This window comes from Homo sapiens, chromosome 1, assembly GCF_000001405.40.
Source record: "Homo sapiens chromosome 1, GRCh38.p14 Primary Assembly".
NCBI lineage: Eukaryota > Metazoa > Chordata > Mammalia > Primates > Hominidae > Homo > Homo sapiens.
This window is the reverse complement of record NC_000001.11, coordinates 156,860,680-156,883,427: the sequence shown is the minus strand read 5'-3', so window position 1 is coordinate 156,883,427 and position 22,748 is coordinate 156,860,680. Positions and strand designations below refer to the sequence as shown.

The window sequence follows — 22,748 nt, the reverse complement described above, 5'->3', positions numbered from 1 at the left end:
GCCTCCACGTCTGGGTGTCCCATCCTCTCCTAGCCCCTGCAGAGAGGCTCAAAGGGCACAGGTGAGGGGGTGAGTGAGGTAGAAAGCCCCCTGGGGAGTCCATGATGTCCTCCCAGACTTCCTCTGATTGAGCCACTGCCGTACCTGTGTCTGTTTGCAGCGCTGGTCTCACCCTCTCTCTCCATGTGTGTCCGGCTATGTCTGTGTGTCTGTCTCCATCTTTCTCTCTATCTGCATGTCTCAGTCTTTATATCTCCCTCTGCAGTCTCTCTCTATGTCACTATGTCTGTATGTCCTGTCCCTGTCTCTCTCTCTGCACTGTCTCTCCCTCTGCATCTGTCCCTGGGCTCACCTGTTGGATCTGATCCCCCAACTCTGCATCCCTCACCATGTTCCCAAGCCCTTTCCTCCCGATGGCTCCATCTGCTTTAAGTGCCCTCCCTCATAGGGGTGATGCGGCACCAGCCCCACCCATACCCGGCAGGAGAGGAAGGCCTGTGAACTTGGCCCTTAGGGACCAACCACACACACACACCCCAATTCCCCCATCGATCAGCCTGCAGCCCTGGGTCAGTCCTCCATTAGCACTAACCAGCCTGGACAAGAGGCAGACACACCACAGGGCTAGGCCTAGGGGCGATAAGACACAGATTGAATCATGGGAGTGGGGGTGGGGTGGGACTGGCACCCAGGGACATGAGACAGCCATGTGATTAGCCCTGAGGAGCCATGGGAAGCTTGCATTATTGCAGGAACTGGACAGGTGATTGGAAGTGATAGGGCTGAGGGTGGCGGGGAAGCTGCTCCTCCCTGGCTCTGGGTGGAATGCAAGCCTTTGGGTTAGGGAAGGTGAAGACAGGGCCCAGGTGCCCTGACATGATGGGGCCCAGTCTCAGTGCTGCTGACAGAGCCTCAGACCACTCAGTTAAGGCCAGTCATGTTCCAAGGGACAGAGGACAGGGGAGACCTCACCTACTCCCTTGGACAGAATGGGACAGGGAGATGGCTTTGTCCTTAGGAAATAGCCTCTTTACACAGTACCTGGCCTCCAGATGCTAATCAAAGCACCTAGAGCTAAGAAGAGTAACAGAGGGGCAGGAACAAGGGGTCCTGCCTCCATCAATCCTTAGTCCAGCTCCGTCCCTTTCCTGCCCCCCATCACCCCACACACACACACACATGTTTCTCTCTCATCTGCTGCTGCGTGCTTGCTCTGTCCCGGACACACCAATACAAGGAAGACACCCCATCAACGCTCCCATCCTACCAGTACATCTAACTTCCACCCCTTCCACTATAGCCCAGCCTTCCTGAACATGAACTACAAAGATTGACAGTTAGGCTCTCAAGGTCTAGGAAGTTTGACCAGAGGCTGCCTTACCAGCAGGTGAGCCAGGTGACCATGGGAATGGGATCCAAACTATAGTCAAAGGTGAGAGTGACAGGTCCATGGAGTAGGGGTAGGCAGCTGAGGGGAACCTGAGTGGGGGAAGATCCCAGAGAGCTGTCCCCCTACCTGAATCCCAATGCCTCCCTCCTGGAACGACGTCATCCCAATAACTGGCAAGAGACACAGCCAAGGGATAATAAATATAATTGCTATGACGGGACCTTGCCTAGAGAAGCAGGAACATCCTCTACTCCCAGCCCCCACCTGTCCCTTCCCACATGCTGAGGGTGAATTAGATACTTTGAGATCACCCTGGGGCTGCTGGGAGCTATGGGGGATGCTGAGGGCAGGCCCCAGTATTCCGGCTAACCACTCCCAGCCCCTGGGCCGGCCCCCTAGCCCAGGACATCCAGGTAGACAGGAGGTGCCTGGGCCAGGGCTTGCAGCCGGGCGTGCACATCCTTGATGCTGTGGCGTTGCTGGGGCTCCCGCTGCCAGCAGCCCCGCATGATGGCGTAGACCTCTGGTGGGCAGGCACGTGGCCGCTCCAACTCACGTCCCTGCGTGATGCAGTCGATTGCCTGGGGCCACCGGAGAGACAGAGGAGAAAGCCCACTAGGCTGGGGGCAAGAGAGTGAGGCCAGTCCCAGTGCCCTCACTGAGGCTCCCAAGGCAGCTCACACTACTCGTCTGGGCTTCTTAGCTGCTAATAACCCGAATGGACACAGTCAACCCCAGGATTCATTTCTGCTCTGACACTGAGAAGTGAGAAGGATTAAGGCTCGACTATGGGAAGCTTGGGCTGGGGTAGGATTGCTTCCAGAAAACTGGGATCAGATCCTAAGAAGACTTGCCAGGTGGGTTGAGGAAGGCGAGGGGCTGAGGTATTTATCAATCCATCAGCTTAGTGTTGGGGGCTGAAAGGAGGAGGAGAAGGGCCCTCTGACTCTCAGCTCCAGAGAGAGAAAAGAAAATAGAGCAGAACTGCAGTTAAAGGGCGTGAAAAATAGCTGGCTTTCATTTTAAAGAAGAGGGCAATCCTTACTTCTCCCTTCTAGGGATACCACTCTGTGGGACTGACTAGCTCTCCCAAAAAGAAACTGCAGCAAGAAAGATCAAAGTTAGACTCTAGGAAGAACTGCTAAAGCAGCCAAGGAATCCAAAGGAGAAAGGGTGGCAGGGAGTGATTGGAGAAGGGGCCTGGAGCCTCTTTTCCCCTTCTTCCCCCCTCCCTATTAGAGGACTTGGGTTATGGGCGGCACTAATTCCATTTCTTCTCTCAGTGCTTGAGAAAATTAAAATCTATAACCCTCTCCCCCACCCCACCAGCCTCCGGGGAGCAGACTGCATTAGGAGGAGAAATGGAAACTGACAGCTGCGAGCCAAGCAGGGGGTGGGGGCAGCTGCTCTGGGAGACAGAACACCTGGGGCCTGCTCTGGCTGTGGCCAGCTAGGAGGGCAGGGGGAGGGGGTAGGACTGTCCTTCTGACAGTCTAACCTCCAGCCGTCCTGCTGCAGTGTTGGGCCTTCTTGTGCTGGGTTCCTCTTCCCGTGCTGGTCCCTTCCACTCTGATAATTCCTGCTTAGGTCTATAAAATGCAGCTAGGGATGGGGGTCTGGGCTCCTTGTACAAAGCACTTTGAGGTTCCCCCAGGGGCCAACTGGGCCTGGGCTTAGGACAGTAGGTGAAGGCAAGAATAAGGGAGGAAGAGAAGAAAAGGGCCACAGTGGAGGGGACACAGTGTGGGCACGGCGCTGGAAAGGGCCCCCCAACAGGCTGTGGCAGAGGGGCAGAAGGGGAACCGAGTTCCCTGAAAAAGGAACCTGAAGGGGCATGGGACGGGGAGGCCAGCAAGGGGTGACCATGGGCCGGGGCTGACCTCCGTGTTGGAGAGCTGGTACCAGGGCTGCTTGCCGTAGGTGAAGATCTCCCAGAGCACCACGCCGAAGCTCCACACGTCGCTCTCGGTGGTGAACTTACGGTACAGGATGCTCTCGGGCGGCATCCAGCGAATGGGCAGCATGGTGCGGCCTCCCACCTGCCACGGGCGGACACTGCATCAATTCCAGGGGCGCCTGGGACAGCCCGTCAAGGCACAGCCTACCCCAGCCCCATCATTAAAAATAAATACACAAGCTCGGTGGTTCACGCCTGTAATCCCAGCACTTTGGGAGGCCGAGGTGGGCAATCACGAGGTCAGGAGATCGAGACCATCCTGGCCAACATGGTGAAACCCCATCTCTACTAAAAATACAAAAATTAGTTGGGCGTGATGGCGTGTGGCCTGTAATCCCAGCTACTCGGGAGGCTGAAGCAGGAGAATCGCTTGAACCAGGGAGTCAGAGGTTGCAGTGAGCCGAGATCGTGCCACTGCACTCCAGCCTAGCAACAGAGTGAGACGCCGTCTCAAAAAAATAAATTAAATAAATAAATAAACAAACAGTGGTGGCTCTCAGGTCTAAGAGGCAAAAACCGAAGGTGCTGTTTCCATCTGGGATAGCGAAGGAGACAGAGCCCCCTCCACCAGGAGCCGAGGAGGTAGGTTGAAAACCAGAGCCAGTGAATCTCAGACCCATGCAGCCATCCTAGCAAGGGCAGGCTCTCAGTGGTCTTGGGATCCAGGGTGTCTACAGTTTGGATGCAGGGGAAGGCGTTGGGGACAAAGGACCCTTACACGGTAATAGTCGGTGCTGTAGATATCCCTGCTCATGCCAAAATCACCAATCTTGACCACCAGTCCCTGGCCCACTAGACAGTTGCGTGTGGCCAGGTCCCGGTGCACAAAATGCAGACCCGCCAGGTACACCATCCCCGCAGCGACCTGGCTAGCCACGGCCAGCAGCTGCCCCAGACCCAGGGGGCCTGGAGCCACATCCTCCCCACCAGCCAGCAGCTTGGCATCAGGTCCATGGGATCTGTGAACAAGAAAAGGAGAGGGGATAGGCTGGGAGGATAGAACTCCCAGGAGCCTGAGGAAGGCGATCCCCAGCAGCCGCGTGTGATGGGAGAGGAGACTGGGGACCTGGAAGTGGAGGATTGAGAGAACAGTAGAGGCAGCTGTCCAGAGGGGTGGGATGGAGGAGCGGAACAGGTGTGCCCACCTCCAGGGCTCCCACCAGAGACAGCCCATGGTTCCCACATCCATGCCTTCCTCTCTGGCAGCTCCTTGAACTCCAGATGCCCACTGGCCCCTACATCCCTTGCCATAGGCATGTCAGACTCAGCCCTTGCCAATTGGAGCTCGGTGTCTTTCCCCAAGCCTGCCCCTGCCTCAGGGAAGGGACCCTTCCCACCCAGGCAGACCCTGAAACCAGGGAGTCCTTGATTGTCCTGTCTCTCTCCCCTCTGCCCTCAGTGTCCAGCCATTCCTACGGGGTCTTCCTTCCTTTCGAAGGTGTCCAGGATGCCCGCCTTCTCCCCAGAGCGAGCACTCGGGTCAGTCCTAGTCACTCATCCATATTCCCCAATGTTCCTTCTCCTGAACCTTTGCCTGAACTGATCACTTTGCCAAAAATGCCCTTTCCTACTAGCCAATCTTCTCCTCATTTGTTTAGTTGAGGCATTTGTTAAACATTTCCAGTGTGCCAAGCACTGGGGCTACAGTGCAGAGTATGATGCAGATAAGCAGGTCATGGCAGTGCAGTGTGAGGGGCACCTGGCAGGCACCACGGGTGGGAATGGAAAAAGCCAGGGAAGGCTTCCTAGAGGAAGGGACACCTAAATTGAGACTCAAGTCCTGAAGCCATTCGAAGGGAGCTGAGGCAGGGAGGGGTAGAGTTTGTGTGTCTGTCTCCATCTTTCTATGGAGGGAGGGAGGCCCAATGCCCCAGGCAGAGGGAACTGGAAGTACAAAGGCCTGGAGGGGAGAAGGAACAGATGGTCCCTCCTAGGGGAAGTCTTCCAGACTCATCTCTGAGCATTAATGATTCCCTCCATTGATTCCCCCAGTGTTCCATCCAGCAGTTAGAGCCTCGTCTCCCACAGCCTGGGCCCCAGATGCTGGTATCTCCCTAGCCTGTGTCCCCAAGACCAGCACTGAGCCTATGCCATGTCTGGGAGCAAAGAGATAGGCTCCTCCCTGGCCTTCTTGGGCTCCTCTGTGCCTATCCTCCTCCACACTCAACCTTGGGTCTGGCCTCGCCTCCTGCTCCACACCCTGCATGGGCTCCCTCCTGGTCCACAGGATAAGCCCAAGACTCAGGGGTCTCTCCTAGCTGAGTCCTGCAGCCTGACTGCATGAATGACCCATCACTCCCAAAGGGATGTTTGGGGACCAGATCATGACCATCAACTGGACAACCATACAGCGCTTGCTCATCCAGAACCACAGCCCCCACACTGTCCCTCTTACTGGTGAGGAAAGTGAGGTCAGAGAGGAAAGCTACTTGGCAAAGAAGGCTCAGCTCATAAGTGGCAGCTGATTCCAAACCCTGCTCTTCTCCCTGCCTTGCAAACACTGCCCCATCCTCCCGGGGGTGATCTCATCAGAGAAGGACTAGACCGAGGGAACATGTGACCATCACATCAGGGGCTGAGAGTAGGGGCTCTGCCTGGGGCCACATCACCCCTGGGCCATTCACTACCTGTGTGCCCTTGGGCAAGTCACTGAACCTCTCTAAGCCTTATCTGTGAAACAGGCACATTTCTCGAAGTTATTAAAATTATCAGCACAAATAGATAAATGTATCAGAGTTGTTCTGTCCGAAGCCAAAGAAATGAATTTTTTGTAACTTGCTTCAAGTGTAAATTGCAATATATGCTTGGAGGCCATAAAAAATAAATACATATTTATATTACTATACAAGATATATATGTACCAGCACATAGAACCATAATAAGAACAAATTGTAGAGCCAGGTGCAATGGTGTGCACCTGTAGTCCCAGCTACTGGGGAGGCTAAGGCGGGAGAATTGCTTGAGCCCAGGAATTTGAGGCTGCAGTGAGCTATTATTGCAACACCGTTGCACTCCAGCCTAGGCAACAGAGCAAGACCCCAACTCTAAAACAATAACAGTAATAAATACATGTTAAAAAATAAAAAATAATAAATTATAAAGTATATAACATAGCACCTGGAACATAGAAGGTGCCTGATAAATGTTCATTACTGTCGTTGTTACTGTCGTTATCTAAACTGCTACCCTTACAGGCCTGGCCTTTGTGTGCCACACACAAATGCACATACACCCTCTGCAAAGCCCACCCACCCCAAAGTTTTAGCTCACGGCCTTTGCCATCGCAACCTCCCTGACTACTGACACTTGTCCTTTGCAAGAGTCACCCCTATGTTCACACATCTGCCTCCTCTACCATCTCAGAGCTCCCTGGGGACGGGAATGTGCCTTCCTGATCTTTCTTGGTGTCTCCCCTTGGTTTGAAAGACAAGCAGGGATGTCTATAGGGAAGGGAAGACGGGGCCCAGAGCCAGGGGCCGGGGCCAGCGCTGAGGCCAGGTGCTGGTACCGGAGGAAGCGGTTGAGGTCCCCGTGCCGCATATACTCAAAGACCATGAGCAGGGGGCGGCCCTCGGTGCAGACGCCGAAGAAGCGCACGATGTGCTGGTGCTGCAGCATGGTGAGCAGCTCAGCCTCACGCTGGAAGTCCTGCCGAGCACTCTCGGACGCCTCCTTCAGTGCCTGGATGGAAGCGGCAGGGACAGGACTGAGTTGGGGGCCGAGCCCTCACTGCTGTTCACCCAGGGCAGCCCGCCCACCCCGGTATCCAGCCATGTCAGCCCTCTGCATCTCCCCCCACTCTGTCCTGATGTGATGGAGCTCCTGGGGGTGGGACCCAGGCCAGCAGTACCCCCCGGGGCAGGGTCTCACCTTGACAGCCACCAGCATCTTGTCCTGCTCAGGCAGGAGGTTGTGGCACTCAGCAAGGAAGACCTTCCCAAAGGCGCCCTCCCCCAGCTCCCACTTGAGCACGATGTCCCGGCGCTTGATGTGGTGAACACCTGAGGGGGCTTGCAGGGTCAGACGGTAGCCCCAGTCTTGGGAGGGCTGGGGTTGTAGCGGGGACTGTCTTGGCAGGGCTGTGTGCTGCACAAGGCTGCCCAGACGAGGGACTGCATGGGGGCTAAAATTCAACCTGCACCCCTTCAGCAAGCCCCATGTCATAGTGTGGGGCTGCACCTGCCCCGAGAGGACATGGTTTGGGCTAGCTGTGACTCTGGGCAGGGGATGCAGCTAAGAGCCAGGCTGGACTCAGCCTGAGAAGAATATGACAGGGCCTATGGCTGGAATAGGGCTGGGGAGGGGTGGGAGAAAGGGAGGGATCGTTCAGGCCTAGGGGCTTCTACACACACACACACACACACACACACACACACACACTCGTCCCTGCCCTTGACCCAGCATAGCCCCTCACAGGCATCACTGAAGTATTGTGGGTTCTCGATGATGTGGCCTTGGAGCCCAGAGCCTTTGCCCTCGGTGGGGGACAGGGAGCTGCCACCCAATGTCATGAAATGCAGGGACATGGCCAGCCCATCCTCTGGAGCCAGCACAGCCGGGCCTAGAGAGGAGACACAGCCGCATGGAGGGGTTTGCCCACACCTTGGCCCTGCCCACCCTTGCCTGCAGGATGCCTGGTCACCCCCACCTTGTAACTTGCAGGGGAGAGACTGAGAAGCTAGGGAGCGAGACAGCAGGCAGGGGGAAGGGGGCACCACCGCCTCTCCCTGTGCTGGCTCCTGTCCCACCCCTGGCCCCATGGGCACCAAAGAACTCCCCCTCCACCCCCACAGAGCCCAGACCTCCCAGACCCACTTAATGCTTGACTACAATCCAGCCACCAATTAGCAGCTGCCGCCTCTGAAACTACCCCAGCACCAGCCCGACACACGCTCCCACACACACTCACACTCACAAGCCTCACAGCCAGGCCTTCATTTATACCCCAAACACACTCACACGCCCTGGAACTCCCATGTGCACAGCCCCCCAGAGACAGAGTCAGGAAGAGCCAGTAGGAAACAAAGCCAGGAGAACAGACAGACAGACAGCCCTCTGCAGCCCCGACTCACGGTTGATCCCAAACTTGTTTCTCCGTCCACATTTGTTGAGCACAAGGAGCAGCGTAGAAAGGAAGAGGCAGGCAAAGACGGCCAGGCCCACAGCCACCGAGACCTGGTGGGGGACAGGGGTAGTTAGATCCAGGGGCTCCTCCTGTACTCTCAGAGCCTCCTGTAGTAAGCCATTTTTTCATCCTGCATGGGAGCCCGGAGCCAGGTCTCCAGACCTGCCTCATCCTCCCCTGGGGACCCCTGCAGTGGCTGTGCGGGTGGCCGTCAGAGCTCAGGCCAGATGGTAGTGATCTCCCTGCTCTGACCAGAAATGACATGCAGATGAGCCTCTACCCAGCCTCCCGGTCCCAAAGTCTGCACAAGCTTCTACTTCCTATCTCACCCCAAAAGGTGTTTCGTCCTTCTTCTCCACCGGGTCTCCAGATGTGCTGTTAGTGTCTGTAGGGACACAGGGCAGGAGGGGTGAGCCTTGACACACACTGTAGCCTCCAGTAACCCCCCAACCCTGGCCCCAGCTGGTCTCTCAGGGATCAGTTCAGCTGTACCCTCTGCCCCAGCCTCAGCTCCAGAGACCAGGCAGAACCTGCCCTCCACCTTGGGCTACTCACCCACCGGCGAGAAGGAGACTGCAGCAGGAGGGAGGAGAGAAAGCAGTCAGAGGGAGGAGAGAAAGCAGTCAGAGGGAGGAGGAAAGCAGTGAGTCCCCTGCCTACTCTGGGACTCATTCCTTCATGGGACGAGGGGGGATGGAGGTGGGCTGCTGGGCCTCAAGGAAGAAGATGCATGTGACCCTTTTCCAGCTGGGCCAGGATGCCCTGCTGCATGGCTGTCTCCTCAGCCAGCCGACAAGGACGGAATAGCTCAGGAGTTCAGGAGTCCTGGCTTGGGGAGAGGGTAAGGAGGCCAGAACAGCGGGACACCAGGACTCCAGACTCCTTTCTGTCCCGAACCAGGCACTCCAATTTCTGGGGTCAGGGCTATAGCAGGAAGTTGGCTGTAACCCAGGAGGAGCCCAGGAGTGGGGGCAGGGTTCAGGATGGCCCTCGCACCAGGGATGGGGTCCTCGGGGTTGAACTCGAAAGGGTTGTCCATGAAGGCAGCCATGATGGAGGCGGAGGCCTGGCCGAAGGGGTTGGCAGCCAGCAGCGTGTAGTTGCCGTTGTTGACGTGGGTGGGCTGGTTGAGGCGCAGACACCCGTGCCGCACGGTCTCATTGGCTGCCGGCTCCAGGAACTCAGTGAAGATGAAGCTGGTCTCATTGAGCACGGAGCCATTGAAGAGCCAGCGCAGAGACGGTGCCGGCTGCCCATCCACAGAGAAGGGGATGCACCAGTGGTGCATCTCCACCGCCGTGTGCAGCTGCACACTGGCCGGGACTGTGGGCCAGAAAGAGCAACAGCAGGAGGTCAGGGCGCAGCTGGAGGGAGCCTGGCACACACCCGACAAGTCCACGGGCAAAGCGAGTAGAACCCGAAATCAAAGGGCAGGCCTGGGAGAAACAGGTCAGCAGGCCCTGGGAAATTCACCAAGGAGAGATGTTTTGAAGAAAGTTGACAATACATTTTAAATAAATCAGGCAGCAGGCATATAAAATTTAGAGGCTTAAAGAACATAAGTGGTGGGCCATAAATAAGTCACAGCCCCACAGGAGTGGGGTATCAGCTTATGACAATTAAACATGGAGTCTTTGGGATAAGGAATCTAGAAGAAGTCAGTGTAACCAAGCTGAAGAAGATGGGTCAGGGGCCCTAACAATCAAACCAGCCAAAAATATATACAGTTAAATTTTTGGGGAAAAGCCAGGCACAGTGACTTGCTCCTGTAATCCCAGCTACTCAGGGGGCTGAGGTGGGAGGATCGCTTGAGGCCAGGAGTTCAAGGCTGCAGTGAGTTATGATCCCAAAGCATTCCAGCCTGGGCAACAGGCTGAGACCCCATCTCTTCAAACACACACACACACACACACACACACACACACACACACACACACTCTTTTTGAAAAAAGATATGCGTTTGAAATAGACCCAATCTGGGCCAGGCGCGGTGGCTCACGCCTGTAATTCCAATACTTTGGGAGGCCGAGGCGGGCGGATCACGAGGTCAGGAGATCGAGACCATCCTGGCTAACACGGTGAAACCCCGTCTCCACTAAAAAAATACAAAAAATTAGCTGGGCGTGGTGGAGGGCGCCTGTAGTCCCAGATACTCAGGAGGCTGAAGCAGGAGAATGACGTGAACCTGGGAGGCGGAGCTTGAAGTGAGCCGAGAGCGCGCCACTGCACTCCAGCCTGGGTGACAGAGCGAGACTCCATCTCAAAAAAAAAAAAAAGAAATAGACCCAATCTGGTAAAAGTAAAAGCCCCTCAATGATAGAAAAAAAGTGTATGTATGCATAAATATATGTATATATATATATAATATAGCATTCATACATAGGAATACTATTTAGCAATGAATTGCATGAGCTACATATAGCAACTCCCATTAACATGAATGAATCTTATAAATATAATGTTGAATGAAAGAAACCAGATACAAAATAATACACGCAGTATGATTCCATTTATATAATGTACAAGAACAGGCAAAACTAAATGATACCGATAGGAAAGCATATTTGAGAAAAATTATTTTTAAAAGCAAGGAAATGGTTATCCTGACAAAAGTCAACATGAGATGGGAGAGTGGGATGGGATTGCGAACAGGGAGAGGTGTTGGGTGGTGGGGGATCTTCCGTGATGCTGGTAAGAGTAATTATTGTTTAAAATATATATATTTTTTGCACATTTCTATGTATATTTCACAATAAAAGAAGAAAACTGATGTAAAGTAGAATATTTAAGATAATTTGTTGGCTGATCTAGAGAAATTAGGCAGCGAGCGTAAAGAGGAACTCAGGAGGAGAATTTCCTCTTTTGAAACTAGGATGCGGGGAGAAGGACCCGATGAGGGACGGGCATGAAAAAATACTTCGGAGCAGTGGGAACAGCCGGGCATCTGGCGTTGAGGGCCTCAGGTAGCAAGGCTCGGGCAGGGGGCCAGAAAGAAATCCATCTCCATCCCTCTGGCCTTGACAAGACCCCAGGACTTCCCCCAAAGGATCAGGTTTTCATGGGAATCTGGAAACAGCTGGGAGGGAGCAGCTGTGGAGACACACATCCCACCCTTTCTTCCAGCCCCCCACCCTACATCCTCTTTTGAGGGAAGAAGAGATGAGTAGGGGGTGGGTGCCGGAGCTGCCACTGAGACTCACAGGAGACGTTGACCTGAACAGAGACCTCTGCCCGGCCCACATCGTTCTCTGCCCAGCACGTCACGTTCTTCCTGTTGAGGTCACTGGTGACATTGGCCAGGGTCAGCCCCAGGGATGGCAGACCCCCAGATTTCTAGATCAGGAAAGAGAGGGGGGAATAAGAAGGAGCTTTAGCCAGCTTGGGGCTGGGGCTGAAGTCTTTGGAGAGCCCCTCTGGCTCCAGATGGAAAGGAGAGGAGGGCTGGGAGGGAAGAGAAGGGAGAGAGGGGTGGGAGAGAATGTAGCAGATAATGGCCTTCCTCCTTTAGGTTTGTTCGTTGACTATCTCCTGGATCACATTTTTTTTTTATTTTATGTTTTATTTTTGTAGCGACGGGGTCTTACTGTCCTGCCCAGGCTGGTCTTGAACAGGGCCTCAAGCAATCCTCTCACCTCGGCCTCCCAAAGTATTGGGATTACAGGCGTGAGCCACTGCGCCCAGCCTGGATCACGTATTTAATTATCTGAAAAATCTAAAATCTAACCAGTAGCCTCAAAATAGGCACAAAATATCCCAAACTGAAACTAAAACCAGCCATCTGAGCAGCTAAACAGATGTCACGCATCCCAAGTACCAAATTTGTACACAGCTCGTTGGAGACCCCACTAGGACCTCACTGCCTATTCATTCCTGTTTTACACACAGTTCTAACAAACTGAGTCTCAGCCCAAGGAAGATCAGAAACAAAGAGATGGTGCAAATAGCACAGCAGCAGTTAGAAACAACAGCAGCGGCATCGCCTCCTGCAGCAGATGAGGACCATGGGTGAGGTTAGACAGGCAAAGTGACTTGATTCTGAATCATCGTCAGGATTGAATCAGATCAAGTTTCTCTTCCTAGGAAACCGTGGATTTGTCATGTGTAAGTTACATGATCTTACGACAATTCTTCATCTTGCTGAACTGTGGGTTTTTTGTTTGTTTTGTAAGCTGAAGAGGTGGACAAATTATCTTCTGACATTTTAGAAAGTGATTTTCACAAAATGAAAATAATGAAGTGGTGGATAAATCTCATTTATCCGAAAACTTTATAAATGTGGAATCCTCTGACCACATGCCAGAGGAGGTATGGTTTCCCCAGGCTTCCATTGGAATATGTGAGTTCAAAGGTTCCAGTAGAGTTTCCAGCCTTTTGTGCAAGCTCTGGGTTCCAGCCACTTCGAGGGGAAGCCCTGCCCTGCCCTCTGCTTCCCTTGGCTGTCCCATCCCCTCCAACTACTGTGGGGCCAATAACTCTTCCCCTTGAGCTGGTCTGCCACCCCTTATCCTCCTAACTGAGGGAGAGCAGCCTCTCTTCTCCTCCATTTAACCCATTTAGGGTGCAATTTTTTTTAAGAGATAGGGTCTTGCTTTGTTGCCCAGGCTGGTCTCAAACTGCTGGTCTCAAGTGATTATCCCTCCTTGGCCTCCCAAAGTGCTGGGATTACAGGTATGGGCCACTGTGCCCAGTAGGGAGTGACTTTTGTATAGGTAGTTTCTAGAAAACACAGATGGTAGCAAACATGTAAGTCTCCCAAAGAGAAAGCAAATCCTGGAATCACCCCAAACAGAGTTGATCTAAGGTCTCTCCATGCAGGGGTATGGCCTCTGCCTGGTCCCCTTTCTTTTACTCACTCTAGGCAGCTTTGCTCTCTGGAGCAGGGAGGAACTGCTCAGTGGCTAGTTGTCCCTCCACCATGTCTGAAGCCCCCTGCTCAGCGCCCCAGTGGCATCTCCCTCAACATGGTTCCAGGGGCCTCCAGCAATTCTGGGGTGGACTCTCCCACCAAAGTGAAGGCTCCCCAAATAAACACCATGCTCCCAGCCCCCCAGGCACACATTCCTGGTCCCTGCATATCCACTCCTCCTGCCCAGGTGGAGCCAGCTTTTTGGGTGGGCACAGCCCATTGTCAGCTGCCGTTGACCTCGTCAACAAGGCCGACTGAGTTACCTGTGGCTACTCTCATCGGCCCATCGCCAGCCTAAGGACAAAGGGTAAGGCCTGGGAAGATGTCCAAAGGCATGTATGGATAACAGAGATAGAGGCCAGAGAACGCCCAGGGGCAGGCAGGACATCAGAAGGCCATCATGTCCACCTTCTCAGCTTACAGATAAGAAAACCAAAGTGCAGGCAGATTAAGGGATTTTTCTGAAAGTCATTCCCAGAATTAATTAGTGAGAGAGCTGGAGCCAGACCTATGCCTCCCTTACTAATACGTTCATCACATGCCCAAGAGGATGCTGCTTCCAGAATCTCCAGAAAAAAGACCACGATACCCCCGAGAACTCATCCCGGATGCAGTACAACTGATATTGTGCCTCCTCCCTGGGTTCCAGTTTCCTTATATAGAAAAGTGATCTGCCGGGCACAGTGGCTCACACCTGTAATCCCAGCACTTTGGGAGGCCGAGGTGGGTGGATCACGAGGTCAGGAGTTTGAGACCAGCGTGGCCAACGTAGTGAAACCCTGTCTCTACTAAAAATACAAAAATTAGCTGGGCATGGTGGCGCGTGCCTGTACTCCCAGCTACTCGGGAGGCTGAGGCAGGAGAATCGCAGAATCGCTTGAACCCGAGAGGCGGAGGTTGCGGTGAGTCAAGATCGCGCCACTGCACTCCAGCCTGGGCAACAGAGCGAAACTCCATAAAAGGAAGGAAGGAAGGAAGGAAGGAAGGAAGGAAGGAAGGAAGGAAGGAAGGAAGGAAGGAAGGAAGGAAGGGAGAGAGAAAAGTGATGTACGGGAGGGATGGTCTGTTGGGTTCCTCTCAGCTCCAACATGTAAGGTTTCTGTGACCCTCTCCCTTGCAGCCAACACCATGTTCCCAGAAAGGGGTTCTAAGTCCTGGGGCTTCAAGTATAGCCTGGGGTCCCTGCTGGGTCAGTGCCCACCCTGAGGGTGTGTGCGTGCCCTGGGCTGCCCCAGAGCATAGGCCTGAGCCCTGTGGGTCTAAACCATCTCTGTCCGTCCCTCAACCTCAGTGTGCTCCTTATTCGTTGTCTCTTTCCTCCACAGTGTGTCTCTCTTTCCCCATCTTTGTCCCCTGTGCTCTGCCTGGACCTCTTGGGGGCTGCCAGCGAAGGTCTTCTCACCATCACCGTGGCTGACTGCTCCAGCTCTGTGAGGATCCAGCCGGCCTGCTCCAGGCCCCGCCCCTCCACCTGGCACCGCAGCAGCACGTCGTCCCCCACATCCACCGAGGCATTGGGCACCTGGACCTTCAGCGTGGGCACACCTGGCCACCCAGGACGCCCGAGGGCCAAGGGGTGTTAGAGCTGGGAGTGGCCCCAGAACTCTACTGCGGGGCTGCTCCTTCCCCCACCCTCCTCAATGACCTGGAGCCCAGGCGATGTCACCCCAGGCAGTTTCCCCCAGCCTTTGCCAGTGCCCATTCCCCAGGCCTTTTCAGTGCTTGCTCAGTGCCCTCTCCCTCAGGCAGGTAGGTCTCTTCCCCAGCCCCCTTACACCACCTCCCTCACCCGGCACCTACCACAGCTGGCATTGGGCATGTGGGCCAGGGGCCCTTGCCCATGACACTGCAGCTTCTGTTCAGGCACTCCGCCCAGTCCCTCCTCCTCCCAGCGCTGTAGCCAGCGCAGGGCACAAGAACAGTGCAGAGGGTTCCCCGACAGGACCCTGGGGGGCATGGGGGACACCAACAGAGTCAAGGAAAGGGCCTGAGGGATCACAGGGGATAAGAGGGAGCAGTTAGGCAGCAGGGAGGACCGTCTACAGGTGAAAGGGAGGACACAGAGGTCTTTCTCTCTGACTCCAGTAACAGGATGTTATTCAAAGAAATAGGCCATTGGGAGGCCGAGGCGGGCGGATCACAAGGTCAGAAGATCGAGACCATCCTGGCTAACACAGTGAAACCCCGTCTCTACTAAAAATGCAAAAACTTAGCCAGGCATGGTGGCGGGCACCTGTAGTCCCACCTACTCAGGAGGCTGAGGCAGGAGAATGGCGTGAACCCAGGAGGCGGAGCTTGCAGTGAGCCGAGATGAGATTGTGCCACTGCACTCCAGCCTGGGTGACAGAGCGAGACTCCGTCTCATAAAAAAAAAAAAAGAAAAGAAAAGAAAAGAAAGAAAGAAAAGAAAAGAAATAAGCCAGGCGCTGTGACTCACACCTGTTATCCCGGCACTTTGGGAGGCCGAGGCGGAGGATGGCTTGAGCCCAGGAGTTCAAGATCAGCCTGGGCAACATGGCAAAACCCCAACTCTACAAAAAGAAAAAATAACGTAAAAATGAAAGAAATCTAATGCAGAAAGTGGAAGACAAGACAGCTGACGTCTGAGGGATGCATGGGGCTCCCTCACCCCAGGCTCCCCAGGATGAGAAACCAGGCAAGGGCTCTCAGCATGGTGACAAGGAGGGAAGGGCACAGCCCCCCAGAGTGACCCAGAGGCTTTAAGTGCCCACCAGGTACACATGGACCCCTGCTGCCCCACTCACCCCTGTGCAGGGTGCCCTGGGAATGTGGGCAGATGTGCCTTGGACACACAGTGGGCCTGTAATCTGCTCAGCCAGGCCCAGCACACACACAGTCATCCAGGCCAGCTCCTCAGGGCAGTAGCCCCCTTAACGGGTAGTCCTGCAGCCCCTGCTTTGATGGGGGTTTCACTGGCATGCACATAGTCCCCAAAGAGACCCCCCAGCAGTGTCACACAGACACAGTGACCCAATGTCATCCAACAGACCCAAGTGCACACAGGCACACACACACTTGGTGCTCTTGCCCCTGGAAGCGCCCCCACTCACAGTTCCTGTAAGGAGAGGCCCTGCACAGTTTTCCAGGAGAGAGACTCCAGAGCGTTGAAGGAGAGATTCCTGCGGGCGTGGAGACACAGCAAGACAGACCCCTTGAGTGACCCGACCTCACTCTGACCAGAATGAGGGAGGGGAGGAGCCAAGAAAGAAGTTGACATCTGGCTCCCCCGCCCCGGCCTAGGCAACCAGAACCAGCCCTGGAAGGCAGTGTGTGTAGATGGTGGGGTGGGGGGTGGGGGGACTTTCTGAGTCCCACTCCTTTCCCTGGGACAACAAGGGTTAACCCCACTTAACCCCCTCTCCAGACCCCAGGGAGGGGGATCTGAGGGAACAGCCGCTCCTCCCTCCCCCACTGCTTTGGCCCCAGCTGGCAAAGTGCTGAGGCCACAGCTGGGGGAAGGGGTCCATCTGTGCTCCCCTCCCTACAGAGCCCAGGACGGGGCCAGAGGAAGAGGGGGAGGGTTGAGGCTGCCACTCCCTTGCCCCTACCTGACCACAAGGAACTCCACGCACTTCCTCAGCTCCCCTCCTCCTCCTCCTTCCGGGCCCTCCTCAGGGACTAAAAGGTCAGGCAGGAAAGGACCCACACCCCCACACCCCCAGCCCCCTCGTTGTATGGATGGAAAAAGTGAGCCCAGCAGGGGCCCGGCTCCAGGCCACACAGGAAAATGATGTAGGAGCCCCAGTGCCCTGTGCCCTGTGCCAGGCTGCCGCTGCTGGGACCCTCTGCCTCTGAGGGGCCTATCCTGACCCCTCTTCTTTCCTAGCCAACCTAGAATTTGTGGTGGCTGGGTGGGAGAAGTACCACCACATAGGGACCAAAGACACAACCCACTCTAGAGCCAGCTAGAGCAGGTGTAAGTTCTATCCTGCCACTTACAGCTGTGTGACCTCAGTCCAGAAACTCAACCTCTCTGATTCTCAGAATTCTCATCTATGAAATGGGGACAAGAACACTCTCTCTCTCACCAGGTTGATTGTGAAGATTCATTGACATAAGTATCGTGAAGTGTCATTGAGCACGTTTTTAACTGAAGCCCCGGTGCATAGACGGTGATATGACATCACTTTATTTTGCTTTGTTAAATTGCTGGACACAGCAGAGTTTAGAGGACCCTGCATAACTCCATGAGTGTCAGCCCCACCATCCTTCCCATCTCTCTGCCTGCTCATATTGGGGGACAGGGGAGCTGAACTCCTGCCCTCAGAAGGCCAGGGAGGGGCTGCCAGGGACTCTGATAGTCTCTCCTGCCCATCCCATGACCCTCTCTGTCCTACAGCAGGGGTCCCCAATTCCCAGGCCACAGATGGGTAATAGTGCCACTATTCTCCAGCCTGAGCAACAGAGGGAGACCCTGACTCTTAAAAAATAAATTAAAGAAAAAGAGAAGCACAGCAAGGAAGAGGGGCTATAAACAGGGCAAATATGTGGTCTCTTAGGAACCGGGCCACACAGCAGGAGGTGAGCAGCGGTGAGTGAGCATTACCGCCTGAGCTCCGCCTCCTGTCATATCAATGGCAGCATTAGATTCTGTGAACTACTGCGCACGTGAGGGATCTAGGTTGTGTGCTCCTTTTGAGAATCTAACTAATGCCTCATAATCTGAGGTGGAACAGTTTCGTCCTGAAATCATCCTCTCCTCCCGCACCATCCGTGGTAAAATTGTCTTCCATGAAACCAGTCTCTGGTGCCAAAAAAGTTGGGGTCCACTGCTCTACAGGAGGGATAGTTATGACTCCCAGGAATGAGGAGGGTGACAAGTGGCAGACCTAACACCCCAGCTCCCAGGATGTCCTAGGGGCCAAGTCAATGAGTCCCTGGGAAATGGAGTCCCAGCCAGAACCCAGGAGTCCTGCTCCTGCCGCTTGCTCCCTTTGCACTGGTGTGTATCTGAGCCCTGGGAAGAAAGATAGGGCAGGCACCTATGAGAAGTGTCCTTGCAGCATGGACCATGGAAGTGAGATGGCAAGGAGGACCTCTAGCTGTCAGGGGCGAGAGCATGCCATCCCTGAGGGAGATGGGAGGAAGCCCCAGGAGAATGGTGAGGTGACTTCCCTGACCAGGCTTGGGCCCTCCTCGCAATCATTCCCCGGGGACAGCCAAGCCCATTAGCAGCCCAAGTCTGGGTGTCCTCCCCAACTCCCACTGCCCAGCACTGGCCACACTCACAGGCGACTGAGCCGAGGAGTGAAATGGAAGGCATCTGGCGCCACGAAACGGAGACCACTCTTCACGATGGTGCTGGGGAGGGGTGCAGGAGGATCAGTCCCCAGGTCTCAGCTACTCTGGGCCCCTGGCCCTCCCTGCCCATCCCAGCCTCCCAGTCCCCTGTGCTGAACCCCTACCCCTCCTCAGGCCCCTCATTGTTTCCTCAACTACTCTAGACCCCTCAAAGCCCTGAGCTTCCTGACTTCTCCCAGTCCCTCAGTGCTCAGCCTCTCAGGTCCTCCCAGGCCCTCGGATGCTTGAGCCCTCCCTGACCTTCTGGTCTCCCCCAGGCCCATGCTGAGCTCCACACCCACAGTCCCCGTTTCCCTCACAGGTTTCTCAGCTCCCCCAGGCCCCTCAGATCACGGAGCTCCAGATGCTGCAGATGCTGCTGGTTCTCGATGTAGCTGTGGGGAGAGCGGATGGGAGTCACAGGGCTCAGGCCCACACTTGAGTTCCCATGCCCACCCACTTACTCCCTCACAATACACATGCACATGCCACATGCACACGCATATGCACCTGTTCAGACCTGCATACACACTTACACAGGCGTGCACACACAAATGCATACATGTGCACAGAGACGCACCTCAAGTCACACATGCACATGTGTGTGCATGAACACACAAGCGCACATACATATGGATCCCCACACCCTCACACATATGCACATTCTCACATACCTCTTGCACACATGCACACACCTAGGTATGCACATGCGCACACACAGAGGCATAAGCATCTGCACAGATGACGCCATGCACCTGCACATGTGCCTGCAGGAACACGCTCACCCATGGACACACAGAAACAAAGCTCACGTCCATCTCTCACGTGCACACACACAAGTCCATTCTCAGATTGGTGTTCTCCTTTTATATCAGGCATCCCTGGCACACACTCATCAGTGGGAGGTTGTACTGAAACACTTGCTACCACAAAAGGCCAAGGCTTATCCCTGCCACTGCCCCACCCAGCACAGACGAAGCCTGTGCTCATGCAAATGTGTGTTCCCAAACGTGCCCGCCCAAGGGCCACTGCCTGGTCTCACCTGTACTACACACACACACAGACATACACACACACACACACACACAAACATCTCTGCACCCCCATAGCCTCTGGCCCCTCTTCACACCCAAGCAGCAACCCCTACTCCACCGAAACCTCCCCTACCATCTTTTCAGCAGATCAAGCAAGAGTCTTACAGGCTATCAGTTAGGGACCCCAAGGAGGGACCCAGGAAAGAGGAGAGGAGCAATGAGAGGAGGCAGTCAGAGTGTCGAGGAGGGGAGAAGAGGCACAGACTGGCTGACTTACACAGCAAGAGAGAGAGAGAGAGAGACAGAAAGATGGAAAGGCTCAACGAGGAGGGTGGGGGCAGACGGGCAGAAAAACAAAGAGAGAGTGAAACAGAGACACTGAAAGAGAAACTGACAGGAAGAGGTCAGAGAGATAGTGACAGGCAAGAAGGAAGACAGATAAGGGGAGGGAGACAGACAGATAAGGACAGAGAGCTACAGAAAGCGAGATAGACAAGAAAGAAAGAAGAATGAGTAGGCATTCGGGGCTAGGGGACAGCTGACGCCCTGGGGCCTGCCTAGCTGCTGGATCCGACATACCAGGGAGTTCCTGAGAACTCGGCTGCCCTGTAGTGACATGTTAGTGTGCCCCCCCCACCCCAACAATACACATGCCAGGGGCCCCTGACTCACTGACGGTTCTCAGAACTCTCCCCCTCTACCCTCTAACTTTCCCTAACTTATAGGAACCAGGACCAGCCTAAGTGACCCCTCCCTTCCTCCTTTCCTCCCTTCCCAGCCTTGGCCCCACCAGGACAGCCAGGATCAGGTCCTAAGTTTCCCTGTGGACTTAGTAGAGGCCTATAAAGTAACCTCCACTGACTCCGAGGGAGGCCAAGTCCCTATTCTACCCACCCCCCAGCCCCTGCCCAGAGGGTTTCAAGCTGTAGGGACCCAGGGAGGGGGTGAGAATGCAGTGGGCTGGCAGGGTGTGTGGGAGCTGTCAGGCCAGCGTGCTCAAAGCTGCCTCAAAGCTGCCTCATTCGTTTGGATTCATAATCAATCTGTCTATTCGAGTCCATTATCTCCTCGTTAGCTCTGCGGGTGAGTGAGGAGGGAGGGGGCTGTGCAGGCAGTGGGGAGGGGGATGTCAGGCTGCAGCCCCACCCAGGGGGACATCTCAGCTCACCACCCTACATGCTTGCTAGTCCCCAGTTCTGGCCTGTCCACTCCCCCTACCACTCCCATCCCTACCCTGCTGGACCCACTTGGGGCTTGGAAAGAGTTGGGAAACACGAGCCCTGATGGGGAGCACTCAGGAGTCTGGACCCCAATCTGAAGGCCCAGGGTGATGAGAGAACTGGACTAGGACTGGCAACCTGTCTCTCATGCCCCCTCCCATCATGCAGAGACCTAGGCCTAGACCAAGACAAGGCCATCTCCTCTACTCCTGGTCTCCCTAGAGCTATTAGAGAGAGAGATTGAGTGCCTTCCCGTTAATTACCATGAGATACCCAAGGAACTCAGTGCCAATTACTGCAAGCTGCTCAAGTAACTTCCAGACAGTGATGATCCTCACCTCGGATACCTTCCAGCCCATCACAGCACAAGGCCAAGGTTCCTTGTCCACCCTCGAAACCCCAGGCCACAGGAGGAGGATTTTCTAGCAGTTCTCCCCTCTTCTAGATGTCTTGCTGGCCATGATAGCCATATGTAATATTCAAGTATTTTCCAGCCATCACCATATGATGCCTGAGTACCTCCAGGCCAGTCATTACCGCATACTCCCATAGGTTTCACCAGCTGCTAAAAAGTACTTGAGTATTTTGTAACCAATTCCTGCAGAATGTCAGAGTCCTGCAGAATGCTGAAGATTCCTCCCAGCTTCGTGTACCAAAGGGAGGAGGGTCTCTCAGCAAGGGCCCTGACTCCCCGCCCCAGGTAGAGAGACAAGGTTGGAGAGGGAGATGGGAGTGGGGAGAGAAAATCCAGGAGGGGGTCCCATTTCCCAGATCCAAATCAACGGGTTCTGGGGGAAGGAATGGTAAAAATGGAAAGAGGAGAGCTCAACCACTCAGCTCCTCACCGCCTCCCACCAATGCCAGCCAGCTCAATCCCCAATTCCAGAAGAAAAGCTAGGGTTGCCTCCTCATAACAAGAAAGTGGGCGGGGGCTGGCTTGCCCCTAGAAAAGGAAAAAGGCAGTAAGGGTGACAAACTGGGGACTTCTCTGCTGGTAACCATCCTTCTCTGTAGGACAGAGCAGGGGCTTCTGGCTGAGCTCCAGAAAGCGCCTTCTAGACGGCTAGGCTCTCTCAGACCTGGTCCACGGAGATTTCCCCCTTCGATCTCCCTGAAGCCGGCGGCCCAGCTGCCCTGAACACTAGGGGACATCCAGGCACTGACCATAAAGCTTGCTAGGGCAGCGGCGGCTGCGGAGGAACGCCCGGGCAGCGCCGAAGGCTGCGTGGTGCCAGCCTTCCGCCGTGCTCGTCCTGCCTGACCAGCAAACAAGCAGCGAGTCCGCGCCCTCGGGGCACTGCAATGCCTGCCTGTCCCCGCGCCCCCCCACCGCCCGCCGGACACTCACAGCTCAGTCAGGTTCTCTGCGCCGGGCAGGTGGTGGAGGCTATCCAGGGCCCCATCCCGGGTGCATCGCAGTCCCGAGGAGCCGTGGGGGCAGCAGGCATCGGGGCAGGGTGCGGCGCCCGCAGATGCCAGTATCAGCCAAGCCAGCAGGCTGCCCGGCCCCGCAGCCCAGCTGTGCCAGCCAAGCTGCCCGCGCCGTCCGCCTCGCAGCATCGCGGCGGCGCCCGCCTCGCTCAGGCGGGGCAGCCGTCTGTGCGCTCCCAGCTGCAGCTGCCAGGCCTCCCCCGACATGTGCGCTGGGCGGTGTTAAAGACCCAGCCGCCAGGAAAGGGCGGAGCCAGCGGCCCCCGCCCGGCCCCGCCTTGCCCCTCTTCTCCACCCGCTTCCTACTCTCTGACGCCCCCCCCTCTGCCCCCTCCCCTGTTAGGGGCCCCCAGCGTCAGCCTTCTCCCCGAGGATCCGCCTCAG

The 22,748-nt window shown here is 55.3% G+C and overlaps 1 protein-coding gene across 3 annotated transcripts in view, besides 5 other annotated features; it reads right to left on the bottom strand.

The window, feature by feature from the left end:
• The window catches only part of NTRK1 (neurotrophic receptor tyrosine kinase 1), a 66,101-nt gene continuing 44,930 nt past the window's right edge, over positions 1,578–22,748 (bottom strand). Inside the window, exons 1-17 of one of the 3 annotated variants that reach the window (NM_002529.4) lie at positions 22,282–22,563; positions 19,000–19,074; positions 18,629–18,700; positions 16,450–16,518; positions 15,179–15,324; positions 14,781–14,923; positions 11,673–11,805; positions 9,469–9,795; positions 9,028–9,045; positions 8,802–8,857; positions 8,420–8,522; positions 7,762–7,908; positions 7,218–7,348; positions 6,856–7,028; positions 4,066–4,306; positions 3,271–3,429; positions 1,578–1,971 (exon numbers count right to left, since the gene is read on the bottom strand). In NM_002529.4, coding sequence (NP_002520.2) covers positions 1,786–1,971; positions 3,271–3,429; positions 4,066–4,306; positions 6,856–7,028; positions 7,218–7,348; positions 7,762–7,908; positions 8,420–8,522; positions 8,802–8,857; positions 9,028–9,045; positions 9,469–9,795; positions 11,673–11,805; positions 14,781–14,923; positions 15,179–15,324; positions 16,450–16,518; positions 18,629–18,700; positions 19,000–19,074; positions 22,282–22,493 — 2,391 coding nt within the window. In that variant the 5' untranslated portion in view covers positions 22,494–22,563 and the 3' untranslated portion in view covers positions 1,578–1,785. Of the gene's footprint in view, positions 1,972–3,270; positions 3,430–4,065; positions 4,307–6,855; positions 7,029–7,217; positions 7,349–7,761; positions 7,909–8,419; positions 8,523–8,801; positions 8,858–9,027; positions 9,046–9,468; positions 9,796–11,672; positions 11,806–14,780; positions 14,924–15,178; positions 15,325–16,449; positions 16,519–18,628; positions 18,701–18,999; positions 19,075–22,281; positions 22,564–22,748 lie in introns of those variants that run through there. The other 2 variants (NM_001012331.2, NM_001007792.1) reach the window with 2 other exon arrangements.
• Positions 7,486–8,383: an enhancer, noted in NCBI's record as "H3K4me1 hESC enhancer chr1:156844837-156845734 (GRCh37/hg19 assembly coordinates)". NCBI's record gives its function as "activates a minimal SCP1, AML or CMV promoter by ChIP-STARR-seq in primed H9 embryonic stem cells {active_cell/tissue: H9 hESC(primed)}" and the evidence as "EXISTENCE:reporter gene assay evidence [ECO:0000049][PMID:30033119]".
• Positions 15,982–16,639: an enhancer, noted in NCBI's record as "H3K4me1 hESC enhancer chr1:156836581-156837238 (GRCh37/hg19 assembly coordinates)". NCBI's record gives its function as "activates a minimal SCP1, AML or CMV promoter by ChIP-STARR-seq in naive H9 embryonic stem cells {active_cell/tissue: H9 hESC(naive)}" and the evidence as "EXISTENCE:reporter gene assay evidence [ECO:0000049][PMID:30033119]".
• Positions 21,722–22,265: an enhancer, noted in NCBI's record as "H3K4me1 hESC enhancer chr1:156830955-156831498 (GRCh37/hg19 assembly coordinates)". NCBI's record gives its function as "activates a minimal SCP1, AML or CMV promoter by ChIP-STARR-seq in naive H9 embryonic stem cells {active_cell/tissue: H9 hESC(naive)}" and the evidence as "EXISTENCE:reporter gene assay evidence [ECO:0000049][PMID:30033119]".
• Positions 22,448–22,497: a silencer, noted in NCBI's record as "silent region_1440". NCBI's record gives its function as "represses an Ori minimal core promoter by ATAC-STARR-seq in GM12878 lymphoblastoid cells {active_cell/tissue: GM12878}" and the evidence as "EXISTENCE:reporter gene assay evidence [ECO:0000049][PMID:35858748]".
• Positions 22,518–22,587: a silencer, noted in NCBI's record as "silent region_1439". NCBI's record gives its function as "represses an Ori minimal core promoter by ATAC-STARR-seq in GM12878 lymphoblastoid cells {active_cell/tissue: GM12878}" and the evidence as "EXISTENCE:reporter gene assay evidence [ECO:0000049][PMID:35858748]".